The 23,194-nt window shown below is 49.6% G+C and overlaps 1 long non-coding RNA gene across 4 annotated transcripts, besides 6 other annotated features; it reads right to left on the bottom strand.

Annotated features, from left to right (window-relative positions):
* Nucleotides 4,699-5,262: an enhancer, noted in NCBI's record as "H3K27ac-H3K4me1 hESC enhancer chr9:116393955-116394518 (GRCh37/hg19 assembly coordinates)". NCBI's record gives its function as "activates a minimal SCP1, AML or CMV promoter by ChIP-STARR-seq in primed H9 embryonic stem cells {active_cell/tissue: H9 hESC(primed)}" and the evidence as "EXISTENCE:reporter gene assay evidence [ECO:0000049][PMID:30033119]".
* Nucleotides 8,146-21,974, bottom strand: LOC105376222 (uncharacterized). 4 transcript variants are annotated; one of them, XR_007061739.1, is made up of 4 exons: nt 21,472-21,974; nt 12,579-19,702; nt 11,198-11,492; nt 8,146-10,302 (listed from the first exon to the last, which is right to left on the bottom strand). It is a non-coding gene; the product is annotated as an uncharacterized LOC105376222 (long non-coding RNA). The 4 variants fall into 4 exon arrangements; XR_001746902.2 differs by lacking the exon at nt 21,472-21,974 and having other exon boundaries at nt 12,579-12,771; nt 13,139-13,618; XR_001746904.2 differs by lacking the exons at nt 11,198-11,492; nt 21,472-21,974 and having other exon boundaries at nt 12,579-12,771; nt 13,139-13,618.
* Nucleotides 13,398-14,269: an enhancer, noted in NCBI's record as "NANOG-H3K27ac-H3K4me1 hESC enhancer chr9:116384948-116385819 (GRCh37/hg19 assembly coordinates)". NCBI's record gives its function as "activates a minimal SCP1, AML or CMV promoter by ChIP-STARR-seq in naive H9 embryonic stem cells {active_cell/tissue: H9 hESC(naive)}" and the evidence as "EXISTENCE:reporter gene assay evidence [ECO:0000049][PMID:30033119]".
* Nucleotides 13,661-13,720: an enhancer, noted in NCBI's record as "active region_28853". NCBI's record gives its function as "activates an Ori minimal core promoter by ATAC-STARR-seq in GM12878 lymphoblastoid cells {active_cell/tissue: GM12878}" and the evidence as "EXISTENCE:reporter gene assay evidence [ECO:0000049][PMID:35858748]".
* Nucleotides 13,674-13,968: a silencer, noted in NCBI's record as "tiled region #10953; HepG2 Repressive DNase matched - State 8:EnhW". NCBI's record gives its function as "represses a minimal TATA promoter and a strong SV40 promoter by Sharpr-MPRA in HepG2 cells {active_cell/tissue: HepG2}" and the evidence as "EXISTENCE:reporter gene assay evidence [ECO:0000049][PMID:27701403]".
* Nucleotides 15,141-16,012: an enhancer, noted in NCBI's record as "H3K27ac-H3K4me1 hESC enhancer chr9:116383205-116384076 (GRCh37/hg19 assembly coordinates)". NCBI's record gives its function as "activates a minimal SCP1, AML or CMV promoter by ChIP-STARR-seq in primed H9 embryonic stem cells {active_cell/tissue: H9 hESC(primed)}" and the evidence as "EXISTENCE:reporter gene assay evidence [ECO:0000049][PMID:30033119]".
* Nucleotides 19,554-19,603: an enhancer, noted in NCBI's record as "active region_28852". NCBI's record gives its function as "activates an Ori minimal core promoter by ATAC-STARR-seq in GM12878 lymphoblastoid cells {active_cell/tissue: GM12878}" and the evidence as "EXISTENCE:reporter gene assay evidence [ECO:0000049][PMID:35858748]".
* Nucleotides 21,975-23,194: the final 1,220 nt, after the last annotated feature.

Genomic DNA, 23,194 nt, shown 5'->3' with positions numbered 1-23,194 from the left:
CATGGCCAAGTGCAGAGAACCAGTGAGGGAGTAGCATGAGATAAGCAGCATGGAGAGGTGGGAGAGGATATTTGAACTGGGTTTTGAAGGGTGGATAGGAGTTCACCAGACAAATTATGAAATCCTTAGGGACTTGGAATTCTGTGTCTTGCTCACCTATGTCTCCTACATAGTCGTGCTCAGTAAATACTGTTTCTCCTGGAACGTGAAAAGCTAGAGAATAGAAGAATGTAGAGGTTATAAAACTGAGACCACTGGTCTTGACCTCAGAGGAATGGAGTGCAACTGGGGCAGAGAGCTTCCTTAGCATCCTGGGCTCTGTCTCCTCTGTCAGCAGCTTTAGTGGTCCAGTGAAGTCACCAACAGAAGGAGGTGGCAGCTGAAAAGGATGACTCCAAGAGACAAGCCATTTGCTTCTGGAAGCAGCGGACAATGTTGCCCTACCCGTCACCACCACCATGAGGCTGGCTTGCACCATCTCTGCCACACCCCTAACCCAAACCCCAGGGTCCCATGAGGGTGACAGCAGCAGGGCTGGGGATGCTGGAGCCAGACGCAATCAGAGTGGACAGCCGCAGCTGCGGTGGCTTCGGAATCTGGTTGTTAGTGGGCGGCTGAGGGAGCCGTGCTGTCTCCCCTGTGTTTACTTGGCTCCAGTGAGGAACTGGAAATTCGATCTCCGTGGGGACCAGGCCCTGGTTAGCCCCTGCCTGGAGTCCAGTGGAGTCAGCCTCTCAGAGCTGCTCAGAGGCCATCCTGTTATCTGAGGAAACTGAGGCCAGGGAGCAAGTGGAGAAGGGACTCTCCCAATCATAAACTGAGTAATAACAGCCGCCATTTAGGGGGTGCTCCTGATGTGCCAAGCACTGGGCCAAATGCTTTCTATATAATATCCCTGCAAGGAAAGTATTATTATTCTTGTTTAACAGTTGGGGAAACTGGTGCTCAGAGAGGGCAAGTAATTTGCCCAAAGTCACACTAAGCTAGAACCAGATTGGCATCCAGATCTGCCTGATTGCCAGTGTCTCTAATCAGCCTGCAATCCTGCCTGCAAGGGCAGTGTTCAGCATGTGACTGGGGCTCCTCAAAGATCTCTGTCCGCAGTGAACCACCCCTCTATAGCTGATCCTGGAGTTGGGGACGTCTCTTCTCACCTGGCCTGCCCACCTTCTCACAAGGAGGCTTCACACCTAGTGCCCTCCCTAAGCCCACCTTTCTTGAGCCCCTGCAGCTCTGTCTGGCACTCCCACTGCCTCTATTTACTTATTTATGTTTCTTTCTTTTTTTTTCAGGCGTGGGATTCAAACTCGTGTTTCCACGGGAGACTGCATCCTCTGCCTTTATGTCCCTGGAATGGGTCTGGGACTTTGAGCTCCCAATGACAGGAATTCCTTTTCTAAACTGGCCATAGAAACTGTATAACTATGAGAAATGGGTTCTGTCCTGTTGTTCCTGATCCACAGCCTCCGACCACCACCATGTAGCACAGCTCCTGACACAGAGAAGGAATAAGAAAGGCCCCCAGCCTGGGCACCTGGCACGGGTGTCTGTGGCACAGCAGAGAAAGCTAGATCTGCTGCTAACGGCTGTGTGAACCTGGGCAAGAGATGCAACCTCTCTGAGCCCACAGCCCCTCTAATGATATTGACTTTTCACCACACACTCCGTGATCTCATGCAGGCAAAGGATTTGGCCCTCAGTGTGTGCTCAAGTTTAATGTCCTGGATTTGAACTTTGACTTTTTTTTTCCTTTTGTTTTGGATTTTTACTCTCTAGTTTTCAGATTCTTCCAGCAATGTACTACAAATTTCTGGGGAAACGGAACCATGTGCCCCTGCCAAGATGCCCAGTGCAGTACCAGCAAGATGGCCAACGCCTAGAGCTCCCTTGTTGATCTGAAACCTCCCCTTTTCCTTACTTCTCCCTCTGTTCAGAATGTGTAGACTTCTCTAAGCTTTGTTAAACCTGTTTACAACTTCAGGCCAAACCCCTCTCAGTGTAAAAGGATCCAAGTGACTACTTTATCTGGTTGAACTAAGTGTCTAACTGTAATCCCTCTTGTAATTTGAGCCCATTTTCTCACATTCGGTCAGAGGTATGGGACCAGCTGTTCTTTCTCCTCTGGGAATCCTGTGTCCTAAGCAGGAAGAAAGCACCTACACCCCACAACCCAGGAATCTCCCTCGTACCTTTCCTACAGGAAATTCCTGCCCCACATTGCTTTCCTCTCTTTGATGTAGCCATGCTTCTTTGAGCCAGTCCGTCATCCACCAGGCCTTTTAGGGAAATGCTCTGAGCTTTCCCAGCTTGGGGAATTCCAAGGAAATCGAATCAGACCTCCACGACCCTCCCCACCGCACAGGAAGGAACCTAGCCAAGGCCCCTTCTTGGATAGATGGGGAGCGAGAAGGTCACCCAGTGTGTTGGTGGCACAGCAGGTTCCTGACTCACTGTCTGCTGCTCCCAGGCAACTGGGCCCACCTGTGGAGCCCTCGGTCCCCCTGTCCCCTGAGTCAGGGTCCCCTCCAGCCAGTCTCAGAGAATAGAGGGTCAGGCTTTCTTGCATAAAGAATGTCAGGTATCTAGTGGTCTCCAAGCCTCCAGCCCTACTGTCACTCTCCTCCTGGAATTTCATGCCCATGTCCTGTGTCAACATTTGTGACCTCAAGTGCAGACTGTTCCTCATGGGATGGTGAAGGAAAGAAAGCAGTGTCAACTCAGCACATCTACACACACATACGCATGCGCACGTGCACACACACACACACCGCTCCACGTGCGTTAAGCGCAACAAGGGGCCCTTGTGAATCTGCCAGGTTCTTAGCAATGCCTGGTGTTCAAACTCCATGACCCAGTCCTGGAAGCTCATCAGTAATCCCCACAATCCTTCCCAAAGCCCAAAACTGCTGCATCAGAGAGCTGAGTCCTAGAGCCAGGGACCATCTGTGCTCCTGCCCAGAGCAGAGTCCTCTTCCAATCAGCCTAGTGACAGACAGCTCATTACCTCTCAAGGCATCTTACTCCACTGTAGATGACTCAGGAGGCTGCCTGGAGGAGCAGAAGCAGGACTGTGCAGTCAGAGAGACCTGAGTTCAAACCCTGGCTCCAGTGCTTCATAGCTGTGTGACCTCAGGCAAGCCACTTCCCCTCTCTGAGCTTCTGATTCTTTTTTTTTTTTTTTTTTTTTTTTTTTGAGACAGAATCTCCCTCTGTCACCCAGGCTGGAGTGCAGTGGCACAATCTCTGCTCACTGCAAGCTCCGCCTCCCGGGTTCACGCCATTCTCCTGCCTCAGTCTCCCGAGTAGCTGGGACTACAGGCACCCGCCACCACGCCCAGCTAATTTTTTTGTATTTTCAGTAGAGACAGGCTTTTAGTGTGTTAGCCCAGATGGTCTCGATCTCCTGACCTCATGATCCGCCCACCTCGACCTCCCAAAGTGCTGGGATTACAGGAGTAAGCCACCGTGCCCGGCCAGCTTCTGATTCTTTATCTGTACGATGAGGAGTCAAATATTTGCCTTGTGGACTTGGTGTGAGCATTAGATGAGAAAGCATACTTGAAACCCAAATGTCAGCTGCCACCTCCCTGCCCCCAGAGACAATGGAGCATAGGGACCATTGTCTATGATCAATATCAACTAATATCAACTGAGAAGCAAGTCAGGGGCTGGGCTCAGTGCCCTTTCAGGATCCTGCTATTTCATCTTCTCAACGAAATCTAAGGAAGCACTAATGTTACCCCCATTTCACAGATGAGGAAGCCGACTCACTTAGAGAAGTGTGTGTGACTCGCCAAGGTCACATGGGTAGAAAGGGCAGGGCTGAGATTTGGGCCCAGGTACCCTGAACTGGGAACCTGCTTGTTTAACCACTGTAACTCACTCCAGGCCCATGGAAGTTGAAAGCCCTCCCCGAGATTTTTGTCATGAGGGCTCTTGCCTTCTCGTGGTCTCTCTGCTCCTCGCGACTGCCGCCTCTGAGTCAGACCAGCTGTGGCTCATCTGAGTGGCCCTTTCATCACCATCTCAGCGGCCCTTTCATCACCATCTCAGCTCCTCAGTATGTCTCCTAAGATAAACCATTCAGCCCCTTCCTCAATTACCAGGAAAAACCCATATTCCCAAGAAACATGTGGGTGGCTGTAGACCTAACTGATGATGGAATGTGGAGGCATGTTTACACTGCGGTACACGCTTCGCACTGAACATTTGACATCCCTGGTTTTCAGTATCTTTTTCTGCCCAACTCCGCACCTCCAAGAACCTTCCTCTGCCCACTTTGCCTCCTAGGGCCCCCACCTTCCAGGGGCCCAGTGTTCCACCCATGCCTTCTCCTCTCTCCTCTCCTCCCACGCCTCCTCCCCCTGCACCCATTCAGTCTTGCTCTCTCCGTCTGTTAAGACTAGGAATTCCAATCCCTCCAACCCTTAATCCCAAACCTTCCCACAGTCACACCTATCAAGGGGCCTTCCAGTTAGCCAGACCCACCCTGTTATGGGACAGTCTTTGAGGGACTTCTTCATTCCTTGGCTCTGTGCCTGTTGACTCAAGTGATGATAGTTATATTAGCATAGAAAAATTCTTCCTCAGATTAAGTAGCAATGAGCTCCTTTCCGATAACAATCTTAAAATATCAAAAACCACAGACCTGGGAAATGATCCTGCCCAGAATTTCTCAATGAGACACAAATGGCCTTCACGACGTGAGACTATCCCGTGCACTGCAGGACACTTAGAATCCCTGGCTTCTCGGCACTAATGCCAACAGCACCCTGCCTTCATCCTTGTGACAACCAAAAATGCCTCCCCATTTCCAAATTTCCCCATCTGTCACACAGGCACACTCATGCATAGCCCATGAACACACACACACACAGTGCATGGAGAACTAATCATGTCTTTGTACACACGGGCTCATGAGACCCAGAGAGGCAAAGGTCTCTGCCTGAGATCACATAGCAAGTGAGGTTGGAACACAGGACCAGCAGACTGGGGGAGAGCCTCTCTCCCAATATGCAGGCTGAGGCTGCCCTGCCACTAGGCTGGGAGCCAGAAGACAAGGGCCCTGTATTGCACCCCACTCCAGATTTTTGCAAACCCAATTCCCTGGACCCCTTCATAAGGACCAGCAGGATGCCAGACAGACACCAGCAGAGAAAACCTCAGCCTCTCATATTTTGAGGACTCGGCAGATTCTGCCTGGTTCCCAGTAAACCAGAAACATGGTCGTGAAGTGAGGTTAACGCGGAGTGCTGCCCGAGAAGGCTGAGCCAGCCAGCCCTCTCTGGGGAGGCAGAAATCCTTCCCGGAGCCTGAGACCCCTCCAGCCTGGCTGTGGGGAGTCAGCTGCTGTCAGCTGCCCAGAGATGAAGGTCAGGGGACAGGAGAGGGGATTTCCAGAACCCAAAAGCCAAGTGTGCCAGCAAGTCTATGCCTTCCAGATGTGAGGACATACGAGGCCAAACACAGCTCCAGTCTCATCCAGAGACACAGTGCCAGGAGACGGGGAGGCAGGCTCAAAGAGGAAGATGTGATCCTTGACTGCACCCCCTACAGTGCGCAGAGCACCCCCATTCACCTCTGTGAATCCTTATAGTGACCCTGCAAGGTAACCATAGCATCCCCATTTCACAGATGAGGAGATAGAGGCTCAAAAAGGCAAACTTGCCACCTACTAGCTGTGTGACCAAGAACATGCAATGTAACCACCCTGGGCTTCAGTTTCTCCTTCTGGATCATCTGGAGGGTATGGCCTGCCTTTAGGATGTTTTTGAGGCTAAACGAGGCAAACCTTTGTTATAGTAGCCCAATGCCTAGCTAGCAACAGGTGCAGAAATAATGCTATTGGAACCAGCAGGTTGAACAAGCCAGACTGGTAATGTAATCAAAAGCACAACTTTATTTTTGTGTTCCATTATCTCTTTAAAATGTAGTCAGTGGGACAACTCCAGGAAGGGTTGGGGGGGGCGACTTTTTTGCTGTCTTAGTAATGACAATTCCTTTAAATTGCAAACACAGTCCAAGGCAATCATGTCTATTTCTAGACCAGTGCAGAATTTTCTGGTCTAGAAATAGACAGAATGTCAGTTTCTTCTCACCTCCAATCCCATTCTCCAGGCTGCAGTTTCAACCTAGCGAAGGTTTGAGTAGTAAGGAAGAAAGAGGGTTAAAGCGAGTGCACAGAAGAGTTCTTTCTCAGGTCATTTTAAAATTGAGACAAACATGACATTTCTTACGTGTCTCAGTTTGTGGTTGCATCTGTATCTGCTACGCACACACACACACACACACACACACACATATTCTAATACTGTTACTTTTTAGGAATTCTCGTATGTATAGAGTATGGTAGATATTGCAGCTAAGTTATGTAACCTTGTGGTTTCCCTTTAATAAACCATGAACACCGTCTTCTCTCATTGCACATACTTTTAATTTATTTTTTGAGATACAATTCACATAACGTAAAACTCACTACTTTAAAGTGTACAATTCAGGCCTGGCACGGTGGCTCACGCCTGTAATTCCAGCACTTTGGGAGGCCACAGCGGGTGGATCACCTGAGGTCAGGAGTTCGAGACCAGCCTGGCCAACATGGTGAAACCTCGTCTGTACTAAAAATATAAAAATTAGCCATTAGCTAGGCATGATGGTGGGCGCCTGTAATCCCAGCTACTCAGGAGACTGAGGCAGAAAGAATCACTTGAATCCAGGAGGCAGAGGTTGCAGTGAACCAAGATGGTGCCACTGCACTCCAGTCTGGGCAACAGAGTGAGATTCTGTCACAATAAATAAATAAATAAATTGTACAATTCAGTGGCTTTTAGTATACTATGTTGTACAACTATCACCACTACCTAATTCTAGAACATTTCTATCATCCCCAAAAGAAATCTTATACCTATTAACAGGTCGGTGCAAAAGTAATTGCAGTTTTTGACGTTTTTTATTTTAAGTGGCCAAAACCGCAATTACTTCTGCACTGACCTAATACTAGCCAATCCCCAACTCCCCTTCCCCTCATTTCCTGGCAACGAATCTGCTTTCTATCTGTCTGCATTTGGCACCTGGATAGGTTATATAATTGGAATTCTACAACATTTGACTATTTGTAACTGGCTTCTTTCATTTGGCATAATACTTTCAAGGTTAAACATTTCAAGTTGTAGCATAAATCAGTACTTCATTCTTTTTTATGGCTAAATAATACTCCACTGTTTAGACAGATCACATTTTGTGTATCCCTTTAGCAGTTGATCAACATTTGAGTTTTTTCTACTCTTTGAAAATTATTAATCATGTGCTGTGAGCATTCATTTACAGGTTTTTGCGTGAATATATTTCCACTTCTCTTGGATCTATACCTCGGAGTGAAATTTCTGAGTCCTGTGGTCAATATTTTTTATTTTTTTCTCTTTTTGAGACGGAGTCCGGCTCTGTTGCACAGGCTGGAGTGCAGTGGCGCTATCTTGGCTCATTGCAACCTCTGCCTCCCGGGTTCAAGCAATTCTCCTGCCTCAGCCTCCTGAGTAGCTGGGATTATGGGCACGTGCCAACACACCTGGCTAATTTTTGTATTTTTAGTAGAGATGGGGTTTCACCATCTTGGTCAGGCTGGTCTTGAACTCCTGACCTCAGGTGATCCACCTGCCTCATAACTCCCAAAGTGCTGGGATTACAAACATGAGCCACCGTGCCCGGCCCCTATGGTAAATCTATGTTTAGTTTTTTGAGGAACTGCCAGATTCCACATCCACTTCCAATTTCTCCACATCCTCACCAAAAACAGTTATTTTCCCTTTTTTAAAAGTTACAGCCATCCTAGTGAGTGTAAAGTGGCAATTCATCATGGTTTTGATTTGCATTTGCCTAACGACTAATGCTGTTGGTCATGGATATGCTTTTAAATTATGATTTTAATTGCCATGCAAATTCCATTGTAGGTTACTATATTTTTAATTGGCTATTATTGAATATTCAAGTTGTTTCTATTTTTTCAAATTCACTCATACATATAAGCCTTTGTGAATCATAATCATCTCTGATTCAATGACATTCATCCATTCACTCACTTATTCAATAGCTATCTACCAAGCCAGGCCTGTTCTAGGTGTTATTGCACAGTACTGAGCAAGACAAAACAGATCTGATCTCTGCCCGCCTACAGCAGACGGTCCAGTGATTTATTAAATGTTTGTGCAAATAAGTCGATCAGCAGGCTGACAAGTATCAGTAAAGAAACACACAGGGCACATATGTAAGAGGAGCGCATCATTCAGAGTGGGTGGCCAGGAAAAGCCAGCCAGGGGTGGGAGATGGGGAAGAGCATTCCAAATAGAGGGAACAGCATATGCAAAGCTGTTGAGAAACTAACAGAGACCTGAGTGCCCGGAGACGGGGGCAAGAGCAAAGAGGGAGGTGAGGGCTAAGGTGGAGGGAATGGAAGCGGAGGTAGGCTGGACTGTGCTGATTGGCAGCCCGCTGCGGGAGGGCTGAATACATTGACAATTGTTTTATTTCCAATGTGCCATTTAAAAATAGCAAAGAAGGAATGAAGAGAAGGAAGAAGTGGGGGAGAGGGGATTTCTGAGGATGGAACACTTAAACAAATGGGGTCCTGCCCTATCTGTGCCTACACTGGCCAAGGTGAGCATCTGTCAGTTGTCCAGCCCGTCAGTCACCTGCCACTGTCTATGCCTAATCTCAACAGCTTACACCACACATGATACTGAGTGATCTCTACCCCTGGCCAAGTGGGTATTGTGACCTAACAGCAGTCAATCTTGAAGTTGGCCAGTGGGCTGAGAAGTGGCCTGGTGTGGTATAAAATATAAATATTTGGTCTTGGTCTCTAATTCCTGGCACAGAGCTCCTAAAACCCCTGAACGTATTGCCTTTCATATGCTAATGAGATGACTTATGGAGGAGCCCTAGAGAGCTTCATGATGAGGGCTGGTTACCCCCACACCCCCTACAGCCTCCATGGGGGTAAGATGGGCTGGAGATTGAATTCAATCGCCAATGGCCAATGATTTAATCCATCATAATGAAACTGCAAGAAAAACCCCTAAACAACAGGGTTTGGGAGCTTCAGGGCTGGTGAACACAGGGACTCGCTGGGAGGGCGTGGAAGCTTTGTGCAAATCCCCCATGTTTTGTTCCCTGCATCTCTTCCATGAGTCTGTTCTTGAGTAGTATCCTTTATAATCCACTGGTAATAGTAAGTAAAGCACTTGCTGAGTTTTGTGAATTGTTCTAGTGAATGATCTAACTAGAAGGGGAGGTTATGGGAACCCTGAAATTCAGAGCCAGGCAGTCAGATGTACAGATGGTCCCTGGACTTGTGTGTGACTGGTGGCTAAAGGGGGACAGCCCTGTGGGGCTGAGCCCTAAACCTTGGGGTCTGCACTAACTCCTGGAGTTGGTGTCAGAATTGAACTGAATAATTGAACACCTAGCTGGAGTTAGGGAATCAGAGACCTCATATAAGAACTCACTTAATCCTTGGCCTGTCCTGGTGGGGGACTTCCAAACCAATCAAGTCCTCCCTCTGGGAGCATTGAGTGTAAGTTAAGAAGTTGGGAGTGAGAGTCGAAGCAGGAAAGATTCACAAAGGGAAGCAAAGAGAAACTGGGCTACAGAAGCCATGAGCTCACCGGAACTGGACAGCAAGAGAAACTACAATGAGGCAGAGGCCTCAAGAAGCAGAAGGCATGTGACAGAAAGGGGAGGAGAAGATGCAGGAGAGGAAGGGCAAGCTTCCTCTACCTATAGGGGCAGGTAGAGGAAGAGGCAAGCTGATCACCAGAGAAGGGCTGGAGATGACAAATTAGCCTGGATCTGAACAACTCTCCACTTCTCCTAAGAGCTTTCTAGGCTCTGAGAGCCCTGGCTAGGCTACGGCTGAGGTTCTGTTTCCCTCATTTCCTCCTGGAGTCTGCTGCAAGTGACCTGGCAGTGTCTGCTCCTTACGCTGTCTCTGGTTCCAGGCACGTGGGCCTGGGCTTGGCTCAGAACTCCCCAGCCTCGTTTTGCAGAAAAGGGATCTAGGAGAAGGAGAAAGCTCTGTAGAAAGGCATAGGAAATCCTCAGGGCGGGGCCGCCATGGAGAACAGGGGTGCTGGGGTTGGCATAGGGGTCCAGTGGGTGCAGCTCAGAGATCCAGGAGCCAAGAAGCACAGATTTGACTCTGAGTCACTGGAGGCCCCCGAGAAAAGGCTGTGCCCTCTCTGGGTCTCAGTTTCCCCATCTCTGAAAGTAGGTGACTTCTGCATCCCATTCCAGCATGAATATTTGTTGAATCTGTGACATGAGAGGAAAAATCATTTGCAAAAGAAAGAGCCAGAAACTTAGAAATCCAGTAGGCCAACACATGTTTGAGAAACACAACATCGAACATTCAAGATAACTAATACAATTTCATTTCAAAAATCTGAAGTTTAAAACTGCATAACGTCGAGATATTTGAAATACTGGGCTCTGAGGGCCGGTGGGAGGAGAGGGCTCAGGTCTGCTGACGAATGTCCTCCTCTACACCAAGAGGACAGCATCCACTCCAAGGCCAACAGAGCCCCAAAATGAAATCCCTCAAATTCCACAACGTCAGAAGAGTTCAAGCTTCTTAAAGTTCCCCAGGTTTAAAGATGCTCCAGATTCTAAAATGTCCAAGATTTCAAAAGATCCTGAAAGCTCTGAAGTTTCCCAGGTTCTCAAACTTTCATAGGTCTCAACTTCCCAAATTCTAAAAGTCCCAAATACACACTGTGAGCCTAGTCGGGATCTGGCTTGAGAAACTTGAAAGCACAGGGGCCACCATCTTTACTATCTGCTTTTTCTCCAGCCAGAGGCTGAGGCCCTCCCTTTGGGCATAGCTGTCCCTGAGGGTGAGGGAAGCAGGCAGTGTTTTCTGTGATCAGGGTGGTCCCCAAGTGGAGTAAGTTGGGCCTTCATCCTTCTCCATGCCTCCGGGAGCCCTAACCCTTCTCTCAGTAAGGACAGCTACTGTCTGGGGTCCTGGGCCCCCAGACTCACCTTGTCATTCATTCCCAATGGCTCTGTCCTCAAGAGCTTACAGTCTAGCGGGGCCACAAACAAGCAAGAGAAAGGGTCCCTTGAAAGGATGTTCACAGGGCAGTGGCCCGGCCAGGTGTGACCCCCTCTGGGGGGCCTGAGCTCCTGCCCTGCATGACGTCCTCACCTGCCGGCTGCACGCAGGTTACATCCCAAGGATGCCAGTCATCAGCTCCAGCCTCAGGAGGAAGCATCTTAGAGGCTCCAGTCCACGGCAGGTCAGAGGGCATCTCCAAGACCGCTGCCTGCCTTGGCTTCTGCTGTTTTGGACCTGCTGGTCCAACTGCCCATCCCAGGCCTGAGCCTCCACCTCGGCCCCATCAGGGCATCTCCAGCTCAGCTTCTGCTCTGGTTCTGCTGCTCCCTGAGCCAGGCCCCCACTTTCCAGCTCTGATCCTTCATAGGATGACTGTACCTCAAGTCTCAGGAGAGATGGAAGATGCCCGAGGTCAGCTCCCACCCCCGAAGTCAGGACCCCTCCCCAAAGGGCTGTTGGGTGGCACCAGGTGGAGGGAGAAGAGACTTTGGAGGGAGCACTGGCCCAGAACTCAGACTTAACTATATATCCCCAGGCTGCAATCTCTGGAAACATCCATTTCCTCCACTATAAAGGGGAATTTTAATTCCTACCCGACTCGGTAGTAGGGGAATTGGGTGACCGGCTGCCTCCCTACTTGTTAAAGGACCCTTCAGATGTACTCCCCTTCCTTTCCGTTCCCAAACCCCCAAACCCTGAGTGAGTGTTGGGAGCTGAAAATGTCAGTCTCCCCGGAATCAGCAGCACATAAGGGGTGGAGAGTCAGAGAATGGGTTTTAACACAAACACTAATTGTGGATCCCAGAATGGCCTCCCTGGCTCCATTCATGAGACTGGTATTTTTAGCCCAGGATCGGCTGCCTGTGGCCCCAGAGGGGGTGGCCAGGCCGTGTGTCATGTCTGAGTGATGATGGACTCACTTTGCCCAGGAAAAAAGCCCACAGGGGACTGCTGCCAGATCCCAGGGTTGCCACCGCATCCGGGAGGAGACAGATGTTCAGTTAAACCCTCTCATCCCCGAGGGGCACACTACAGGGTGTCAGGAATGATAGCAATAATTAATATGCATTAAGTGGGAGGCCGAGGCGGGCGGATCACAAGGTCAGGAGATCGAGACCATCCTGGCTAACACGGTGAAACCCCATCTCTAATAAAAATACAAAAAAATTAGCCGGGCGTGGTGGCGGGCGCCTGTAGTCCCAGCTACTTGGGAGGCTGAGGCAGGAGAATGGCGTGAACCTGGCAGGCGGACCTTGCAGTGAGCCGAGATCACGCCACTGCACTCCAGCCTGGGTGACAGAGCAAGACTCCATCTCAGAAAAAAAAAAATGCATTAAGCATTTCCTAGGTATCCAGCACTGTCGCGGCTTTACAGGCATTAACTTATTTAATCATTACTATGAGGTAGATACTATTATTATCCCCATTTTATAGATGAGAAAACTGCAGCTGGAGCAGTTAATTAACCTACTTGAGTCCACACCACAGTAGCGAGTGGAGCAGGGGGATTTAAAGCCAGGCAATCAAACTCCAAAGTCCATGCTCTTTCTGCCTGGTCACTTGGAATCTGGACCAGGAGTGGACAGTCTTCAATGGCCAGTAGGTCCTCCTGCCTCAGCCCATTGAGTTTTCTGGGATTGCAGAGTACATCCGGTCCTTCCCTCCTGCAGAGGTAAGGAAATTGAGGCCCACCATGATGCCCAAGGTTAAGGAGCCATTTGGCCCTAATTCCCAAACCACAACTTTTCCCACTGAATGACTCCATGGGACAAGTTCATTTTGTCACCCGCTCGCCTCCTCAGCCTATCCCCAGCTCCCAGATCAGATGAGCTTGCTTTAGGGCAAAGAGCCTGGACTCTGGATGCAGATGTGAGCCCCGATTTTGACGTGCTATGTGACCTTGGGCAAGTCAGCTCACCTCTCAGAACTTCAGTTTTCCCCTCTGTAAAATAGGCGTGATTGGGCTATCTTCATAAGGCTGTGTGGTGGGTATAAATTGTCTGGAGATTCATCAAATATGGGTTTCCTTACCTTGGGCTCCTTGAACTATTAATCCCCACTGTAAACAAGACACATGGTATACACCTGCCCAGGGTTACTCCTGGAAATGGAAGATCTGGTGATGGAATTGTAGACACCGTGACCACCTGTTGGGGAGATATTTGGAGCAAATCATGCCATGACTGCATCTACCCGCTGTTCAGATTCCCAACAGAAAAGAATTTGGCAGAAAGAAAGAAAAGAGAGACAAGGCCTATCCATGCTCTGAGCCAGCTGCCAGGGTAGGAAAACAGAACATGCATGGCAGAGCTCAGGACCAGCTTAACCAAGTCCCCTCTGGATGATCATGGGTCAGTCTCTCCTCTCCCCGGGGCCTGAATCTCCCAAATGCAGAGAGGGGAACAAGACTCTTTCATGCTCTCCCTGCCCTGATTTCTGTGACTTGATTAGGACAAGCCCCTCCCTCAGGGGCTTGGGACCCTACGTTCTGCCCCATCCTCCAGCATGTGCGCACACACACAGACAAACACACGCACACACACCCGGACTGTCTGCTCAGGGAACCTCCACAGCCCGGCTTCCACATTCACTCTGGGCTTGCCCAGGGCCCATGGGGTCGGCTCCCTGGGGCCTCAGCCTCTGAGTCACAGTCCACAAATGCAGCTCCCATCAGAGCAGGTGACTCTTTCCAGCTCTGAATCTCAATTGCAAATTTCCTGACTGGAAAATCTGATTGGCCCAGGTGGCATCAGGGGGCCCAGTGGGCTGGGTCATGCATCATGTATCATGGGCTAGGGGTGGAGCAGCTTCTCCAAGAACAGGGTGCAGATGAGAAGGAAATGAAAGCACCTCTAAGTCAGAAGCAAAATGAGTTCACCCAGAATGTAAATTAGTTACATGGAAAAATCGATCTACACTCATTTCACATTTATCTAGAAAACTCTCAGAAAGCAGCTGCTATTGGGGTGAAAATTAGAAAGAAAAAAACTACCCCTTATTCTCAGCTGCCAAAACAAATGTCAAAAATCCACATCCCTGACTCATCAGAGAGTCCTCTCATTCATTGATTATGAACTCTTACACTACAGACAATCCTGATACACACTGGTTATTGGTTTTTCATCCAAAGGAGTCATGATAACGTGGTGAGAAGTAACTGCTGATATCTCATGAGGAAGAAATCTTTAAAAATATAGAAGCAAAGCAGAACTTTTAAAAGCAGACACAAGGGCTAAGCAGCTTGGGGGACATTCATAGTTCAGGCACAGTGAGTTTTGGAGTCCCTAAAATTTACATCAATGCATACAGTAGTTAAAACTCACAATGACAACCCTGGAGCATTGAGAATAAGTAAAATTGCATTTCCTGACCTTCACTTAAGGTGGTATAAATAGGTAACACATGGCGAAAGACTGCCATTTAAAAAAAAAAAAAGAACAGTTTTAAGTTTTTAACAGAAAAAATAAATCTCATCTGGAAAATGCATTCTCATGGAATAATGCATTATAAATGATGTATGACTATATGAGGGTTTATAAGCCAATCCAACAAAAATAATAAATGGCACAATTTTGAAACCAAACTCTGTAACTAGCAGCTCGAGTTTCATTACTGGAGGAATAAAGTGCTTTAACAGTGATTTCAGTTGGATCAAGGACCCCAGAGACCCTGCCAAGAGTTTGAAAGCAGATAATTGTTAGGAGCAATGCCCAGTTCCAGCCCACCCCATAATTTTACCCTCTAGCTTCATAACTCTACACTTCGTTATGAGGGGGAAGGAGGCTGAAGAACTGTGATGTGTTCAAACTTGAAACTGGGTGGAAAGTTCAAAGTCCTTGGTGTTGTGGGTCCCAAAACTTATATATATCGAAATCACTTAGAGATGCATAAAAACTTTAGGAGGTCTGGAAGAGGAATCAGAAATATCAGGAATAGCCATAAACACATTCCCTAAATGGTTCTGATACAAGGTGGTCCATGGACCCCTTGTTGAGGAACGTGGCTCCCCTCATTCTGCAGATGGAGAAATCAAGGCCCAGAAACGAACAGAAAAGTGGCCCAAAGTCACACAGCAAGTCAGAAGCTGAGCTGGCCTCCGGCCCGTGCAGCACTTCTTTCCACCAAATTCCGCCTGCCCACGGACGGCCCCCTGGGGCTCACATTCCAAGGAGCCATGTAACGGGAAAGGAAATGTCAGCCGTGACTGTTCCGATGTTCGAAGGCCCATTGTAACTCCAGGTTCCGCCAGACACAGTCCTCAGAGCTCAGGCGGCCAAGATTCATGAGCCTGCTTTTTCCAGATGGGATCAGGGATGAGATTACAACAGCCAGCATTTATTTTTATTTCCCCAGGAAAATAAATCGGCAGTTTTGCTCCAAGAAAAGTGATCAGAGGAAGCAGTGTTCCTAACCAGAAGGAGGGCCTGGACCATCTCCAGCCCCTCATAGCCCCCTCCAGGCCTGCCTCCCATCCTGAAGGTGCCTGACGTTAAGTCAGAGCCTCAGACAAAGCACCCTTTGGGCTTGGACTCAAGAAACCTCTCCTGCCTATGGCAGTGGATAAAGGTCTTAGGAGCTGGAGGGTTACTTTCTCCCACCCCAACTTAGGTGAAAGACATTTGGCAGTGTCTGGATTTGAGAACTGGAGAGGGGTGCTACTGGCCTGTAGGAGGTCGAGGCCAGGGATGCTGCCAAACATCCTGCCATGAAAGGGACTGCCCCCACAACAAAACTCCTTGGCCCAAAATGTCAACGGTGTTGAGGGTGAAAAACCCCCAACCACGGGCAAGTGGCCACAGATGTTAGGAGTCGGGATGTGAGTCAAGGTTTTGCCTGTAAATGCTGTGTGAGCTTGGGCAAGGCTCTGCCCTCTCTGGGCCTCAGATTCCCAACTCTACAAGGAGGAGGCAGGGGAGGCTTGTCTCTGGGGCCTCTGCCATTTTGGTCATTCCAGGTTCCGGAGTCCAGGAAGCCTGAGACGGTGCCTTGCCTTACAACTGAGATGTGACTGTCAGAGGGGAGGGGGTCTATGCAGCCCCCACTTGCCTGAGGAGTGCACAATCAGCTCTCTTGAGCCCCTCCCCCGAAGCACTGTATCTGGAACTCCTGCTCCACCAGGAACGGAAAAACCATTATCTGCAGATGACATCACTTTGCAAAAATGCAGGCGGGTGGTTGCCAAGCAGAACTCCAGGGAAACAGCGGGAAGGAAGGGCTCAGAGCATGCCAGCCACCAGCACACCAGCATCCGGCACCTTCACAAATCTCAGCACAACCCTGGGCAAGTTATTCCACTTCTCTGGACTTCGGTCCTCCCATCCATACAAGAAGAGAAAACATCTGGGTTTTGCTAGGAGCCCTTCCACCGGAACAGTCCAAGATCCCGCGACTCTTTCATGTCAAGCCTCGGAGGGCTTCTGGGCTGCAGGAGCACAAAGGGAGCCCCTCCAGGTACAGGAGTCCAGAGTTAGGGCTGAAAGGAGAGGAAATTGGCTGCCCTGCTTGACTGACCACACAGAGGCTCTGATGCCACCAAACTGCTTGAGAACAGCTCTCCTCCCAGAGCGCTGGTCCTGTGTCCTGCCCACCGACCCAGTTTCTTTCTTGGTCTAGCATTTGGAGCGCATCATGAACCAGCAGAGCACTGGCTAATCGCGAGCCAGGGAACTTGCTTCAGTGGGGGAACCACGGTGACCTGCAATGCCCATCTTTCTACCTGTGGGCTCCCGGGATATGAAGGGTGGTAAAGACTGGCTCTGATGAGCAGAGCAGGCTCAGGTCACCCTGGATGGAGCCCTGGGTTGCTCCCCAGAGGCCTGGGTTCTAGCCACAGACATAGGACCTCATTTTCTCCTTCTGGACAGTGAGTAGTTTGATCCAGAGAGTCTGTGGGGTCTCTTTACACTGTAGCAGGTGGTGGCTCCAGGAGCAGATAAGAACAAATTACACATAGGGTAGAGCATGGAAGAGCTGTGTGTCTTCAGCAGGATGACAATTCCCTCTGCTGCCTGCACCCTCATCAAGAACAGAATTACCTTTCAGACCCGTTGCTTTCTAAATGGAAGAGGAAGGAAGGAGAAGGCAGATCACCCTCGACCAAGCTCAAGGGAGGGGTGGCATCTGGCGGGAAGGGCACTGCCCCCGCACCCTCCCCCATTGGGCACTGCCCACTGCCAGAAGGTGGTGTAGCTTACAGGTTAGAATAATCAGGCTGGCATCACCTAGAGCAAAGTCCAAATCTTGGTCCAAGTCCCTCTAAACTGTGCCAAACATGACTCTCAGTTTCCCCGACTGTAAAATGGAGTCAGCAACATATACCTCTTTTTTGGGTGATTCTATTTGCCCCTTGCCCCCACCACCAGTGGATTCATTCTCACCCCTCCCTGCCCTGCTCTGATCCCCAGGAGGCTGACCTCACCCAGGTAGGATATTGGAAGACAGCAGGAAGACAGAGAGGTCGAGGACTTTTCCCACTCCCTCTTCTGGGCCACAGTTTGGATGTGGCTGCATCCCTCTCCCAGGGTCCCCCATCCTGTCGGGCAGCGCCTTCCACAGCTCCTGATCTGTGATTCTGGTACCCAGTGCTCTCCTCTGGCCCACAGAGCTAGAGGTGGTTACAACGTGCTGCTTTCACTAGTCTCTGGTGCATCATCATCCCCTACCAGGTCCTTTCATTATTTCTCCAAAGATGATTTACAAACAGCCGACAAGCACATGAAAAGATGCTCAGCACCATTCATCATTAGAGAAATGCAAATCAAGTTCATAATGAGCTAGTACTTCACACCCATGAGGATGGCTACTATCCAAGAAACAAAATAGCAAGTGTTGGCGAGGATGTGGGGAAATTGGAACCCTTGTGCGCTGTGGGTGGGATTGTAGAATGGTGTGGCTGATATAGAAAACAGTAGAGTGGTTCCTCAAAAAACTAAAAATAGAATTACCACATGACCCAGCAATCCCAATTCTGGGCATATATATTCAAAATAATTAACAGCAAGGTCTCAAAGAGATGCCTGGAACCCCGTGTTCATAGCAGCATTATTCACAATAGCCAAGAGATGGAAGTCACCTCAATGCTCATGGACAGATGAATGGATAAAGAAAATGTGGTACATACATACAACGGAATATTGTTCAGCCTTAAAAAGGGAGGAAATCCTGCCATATGCGACAAGGATGAACCTCAAGGACCTTATGCTAGTGAAATCAGTCAGTCACAAAAAGACATTCGTGTAATTCCACTTCCTTTTTTTTTTGTTTGTTTTTTGAGATGGAGTCTTGCTCTATTACCCAGGCTGGAGTGCAGTGGCATGATCTCAGCTCACTGCAACCTCCGCCTCCTAGGTCAAGCGATTCTATGCCTCAGCCACCCGAGTAGCTGGGATTATAGACGTGCGCCACTATGTCCAGCTAAATTTTTTTTTGTCTTTTTAGTAGAGATGGGGTTTCGCCATGTTGGCCAGGCTGGTCTCGAACTCCTGACCTCAGGTGATCCACCTACCTCGGCCTCCCAAAGTGCTGGGATTATGGGTGTGGTCACTGTGCCCGGCCTGTGTGATTCCTCTTCTACGAGGTACCTGGAGTCATCAAAGTCACAGAGACAGAAAGTAGAATGGTGGTTGCCAGGGGCTGGGGGAGGGGAAACGGGGAGTTGTTTAATGGGTACGGTCTTGGTTTTACAGGATGAAAAAGGTCTGGAGATCCTCAAACAATATGAATATACTTATATATGAATATACTTAAAAATATACTGTGGAATGATACACTTAAAATGGTTAAGATGGTTTTTAAAAACTTATCATCAAATTGTATGTTTTGAATATGTGCAGTTTATTGTGTGCCAATTATACCTCAATAAAACTTTTTTAAAGTCCCTTCATTAAACTCTCTTCAGGAAAACTGGTGGTTCCCAAACCTGTGTGCATATTAGAATGTTCTGGGATCTCTTAAAAATTCCCAATCCCAGGCCACTCCCCAGAGCCATTAAACCACAACCCCTGGGAGTAGGATACAGGCAGCAGGAGTATCTGATACGCCCCAGGGAATTCCAACACACAATGACACCCACAGAATTGCATCCTTCAACTGGGCCATGTGTTTTTTGTCAGGAATCTGCATAATTAGCTACTTCTTAGGCTTATTGTGAGGATTAAAGGAGATAGTGAGTGCAAAGCATTTCGCACAGCTGCTGGCACCGACAGCGCTTATACAATGTACTGAAAACATCGTCGGTGATGTTGTTATTGTTATTAGTATTATTTCTCTGGGACATCAGGTTGCTGTGGGTCTCAGAGATACTACAGAGGAAGGTAGAGAGGGTATCAGGACCAAAAGCAAGGTAAGACAGGAAAGCAAGCAAGGCAGAAAGGAGGGGTGCACTCAGAGGCAGAGAAAGGGGAATTCCGTGCTGGCTGGGGAACGTGGGTTGCAAGACTGCGAGAAGCCCAGGGCAAGAGGATGCCAGATCTGCCATGATGCCAGGAAGTGCCTACCTCCAGGGGCTGCTGCCAGGCAGCGGGCACCACTCAGAGGCTCCAGAAACACTGGGTGACACCCAGGGCCATGGAAGAGTTGGTCCAGGAAGCAGCAGGCCTGCAATGTACATATGCTTACCACGTAAGGACTTTTAGCTGGTCTGACCTTGCGGGGCCCCTTCTAATTTTTCAGGGGTCCCCAACCACCCTTGGCAGCTGTAGCAGGCCCTCTCTCAGCCTCTCCTCTGGGCTCCCTGGTCTGAGGCAACTACGGACTGCCACCTCCGTTTACCTCCAAGTGTCTGCCCTGGGGCCCTTCACCTTGTGGGGCTGGCCGTGGTTGGAGGGCAGGGGGCGCTGGCCATCAGGGAGGGAGGGAGACCACATTCCCTCCCTTGGTTGCCACGTGGGAACAGGAAGATGGTGAAAGGCCATGATACTGAGGTTCACCAATATGGTGAACTCTTCCGGCCAGCAAAGGATTCTGGTCAAGGAGGTGGAGCCACCGGCCCGGCCTGGATTTTCCACCCCACAATGGTAGGCCAGGCATCCATTCCAAAAAACATTTCCTAAGCTCCCACTACATGCCCAGCCTGGGGCCCTGAGATCTGACAGTGAATAAGATGCCCTGGCAGAGCTCAGATCTGGCTGGAGGGAGCAGGAGTGCGGCAGGAAGGAGAGGCCCCCGTGGCAGAGCAGCCAGGGGCAGACAGACAGGGCTCACATCCCAGCTCTGCTCAGTACCAGCTGCAGGTCTTGGGAGAAGTCAATCCACCTCTCCAGCCTCAGTTTTGTCTTCTACAAAAGAGGGTGACAAACTCAGCCTCACAGAGCTGCTGCTGGAGGGAATGAGACAAGATGACAGGAGGGCCCCGTCTGGCACCCCTTGGAGTTCCTTCCAGGAACGAGGAGCGAAGAGCAGGCACCTCCACCCGGGTTCCAGCACAGGACACTTGCAGGGGCCTGAGCTGCAGATGGGAGAGGCAGCTCTCTGGGGACAGAGCTGTAGCCAGAGGCCAGCGCCCGGGGCTCCAAGAACCACAAGTCCACAGCAGGAAATCCTCCTCCAGAGCCTGGAGCCTGGGTGCCCGGGTCGCCACACTGCTGGCTGCTGATAGTGCTGGGTGAATGTGGGCAGTCCCTTCCCCAGTCTGGAGTCCCCCTTCCGCCTCCGTCCAGCAGAGCTCAGGCGCTGGACACCAACGAACCCTCCAGCAATGACATTCCGGAAAAACGGAAAGCCCTCATGATCCCTTCTTGCAGGTGGGAAATTAGAGGCCTGGGAAGGACAGTCTATTCAAGGGCACACAAGTTCACACAGCAGAGTCAGAAGTAGAAGCCAGATCTCCTGACTCCAAATCCATAGCACCTGTCCACACTAGTACCTCTCCAAAGGCATGAGCCAGAGTACCAGGAAACTCAGAAGGTGTGGCTTCTTCTCTAAGGGACTCCTTGACAAAGCTCTCAGCTCCAATGAGGTAACCAGCATCCCCCTCCAAATATCCTCCAAGATCTAGAGAAGTCACTCCTTTGTTCAAGAACCTTCCACAGCTCTCCATCACCCAGTGAACATCTCACCCAGCATCCAGGGTCCCAACCTTCCTCTCCAGCGGCTCCCGCTCATTCCCCCACCTTTGCCTTCCATCCTGGTCACCACATAGTAATGACTGTCCCCATCTCCTGGCCTTTCTGATTCTGGTCCCCCATCCTAGAATTTCCCTGCTCCTTCCTTTAAGACCATCTGAAGGTCACCTCCTCCAGGAAGCCTTCCTGCTCCCCAGGTTAAACATGGCCTCTCCCTCCCCTAGGCTACCAGAGGAGGTAGCCTCAGGCTGTATCTGGGTACCTCATGTGCCCATCTGTCTCCCCCACGAGATGGGGAAATACCTGGGTGCAGAGTTTAAGAAACGCCCACTTCTTGTCATCTTCTCATCCTCTGCGCCAAGAATTGAAAGAGGAAGGGCTAAGTGACTCCTGGGGCCCTGAGCCCACAACAGGACGAATAAACAGGGACTGTTTGGTGCCCATTTGGGACACAATTCCAGGCCAGAGGTGGCTAGAGGCTGGGCCTGGAGCCCAAACACAGGCATTGATCCCGCCTCCAATGGCTGTTTCTGTTTTCCTTTTCCCTGGGCAGTGGCTGCGGGGGCGTTCTGGGCCACAGCTGGTTTCTATTGCATCAAGGCTCAAAAAAGCCCTGAGCATATTTTTAGAGAGAAGGGGAAAAAAAGAATCTTTTCTTCCCTGACCCAAGATGAGGGCTTGCTCCAATTTTCCATCTGCTCTCTCTTCTGGGTGGAGCTGGCCGGGAAGTTTCTCTGCAGGGGGATCCTTCAGGATGGCGGTTTGTGAGCTCATAGTTAGGGCAGAGTGAGAGGCTGCCGGCACGATGCCCGCCTCCCTCGCCGACACACATACAAACACAAATGTGCACACACACACACAACCTCAGGCATGTGATGTGGAGAGGAGAGCCACATGCCTGAGTAAGAACAGTGAAGGAGCAAGAGGGACTTGGAGCCACCAGTGGCTCCAGCCCAATCTCCCACTGGAAGCAGGTAGCTGAATGGTGGCCTGAACCAGGGGTTGCCGTACTCGCACTCCAGAGCCCTGGGATGTGCCGCATTCCCACTGGGGTGCCTGGATCCAGAAGACCTGGGCACATCTGGGACTGGAATACAGAACGTGTTTGATGCATCTTTGAATGGCTGGTTTTCAATTGTCTGAAGATTCTGTTGGGAGGAATGAAAGACCAAATCATTTTAAGACCTCTCTGAACTCTTAGAGCTTTTGTTGAAATGCATTTTCTCAATCAAAAGATACTAAATGCAGCAGTGCTCTGCTGGTATGTTTGTGTGTGTGTGTGTTTGGTGTGTGTGTGTGTGGTGTGATATGTGTATAAATCTGTGAGTGAGGTATGTGTATGTCCCCTATTTGTATAACATATATGATGTATGTGTTGTGTTATGTGGTTGTGTGTTGTGTTTCTATGTGTACTGTGTGTATTTGTAGTATAATTTGTGTTGTGTATGTGTGTGGTGCATGTGTTTGACGTATGTTTCATATAAGATGGGGTGTATATGTGTGTCGTATGTGTTTGAAATGTGCTGTGTGTGTTGTGTCTGTATGATACACGCTGTGTGTTTGATGCATGCTTTATGTGTGATGTGTGCTGTGACTATGTGTGTTGTGTGTGTCAATGTATGTTGTGTGTGTTGTGTGTTTGATGTATGCTGTATGTATGTGTTGTGTCTGATGTGTGTTGTGTAGCATATGTGCTATGTGTGCTGTGTGTCTGACACAGGCTGCGTGTCTCTAATGTGTGTTGTGTGTCTGATGTGGGCGTGTGTGGATGCTGTAATCAGAGGCCATTCTTGGTACCAGCCAGAGGCACGTCTGGAACTGGGGGAGGGGGTTGTGTAGGGGAGAGTGTCCCTGCTTCCCCCAAGCACACTTTTCAAAGTGGCACCTTTTAGAGATGCTCCAGGCCAATCTGTTGAGCAAAGCACCATGGGGAGAGAAGGTAGATGGAGGAAAAGAGCCCTTTTCTTTTTTTTTTTTTTTTTGAGACAGGGCTCTGTTGCCCGGACTGGAGTGCAGTGGCATGATC

The sequence above is a fragment of the Homo sapiens genome, chromosome 9 (assembly GCF_000001405.40).
Source record: "Homo sapiens chromosome 9, GRCh38.p14 Primary Assembly".
NCBI classification, from domain to species: Eukaryota; Metazoa; Chordata; class Mammalia; order Primates; family Hominidae; genus Homo; species Homo sapiens.
Note: the sequence above shows the minus strand (reverse complement) of the source record. Positions and strands in the feature narration are given on the sequence as shown.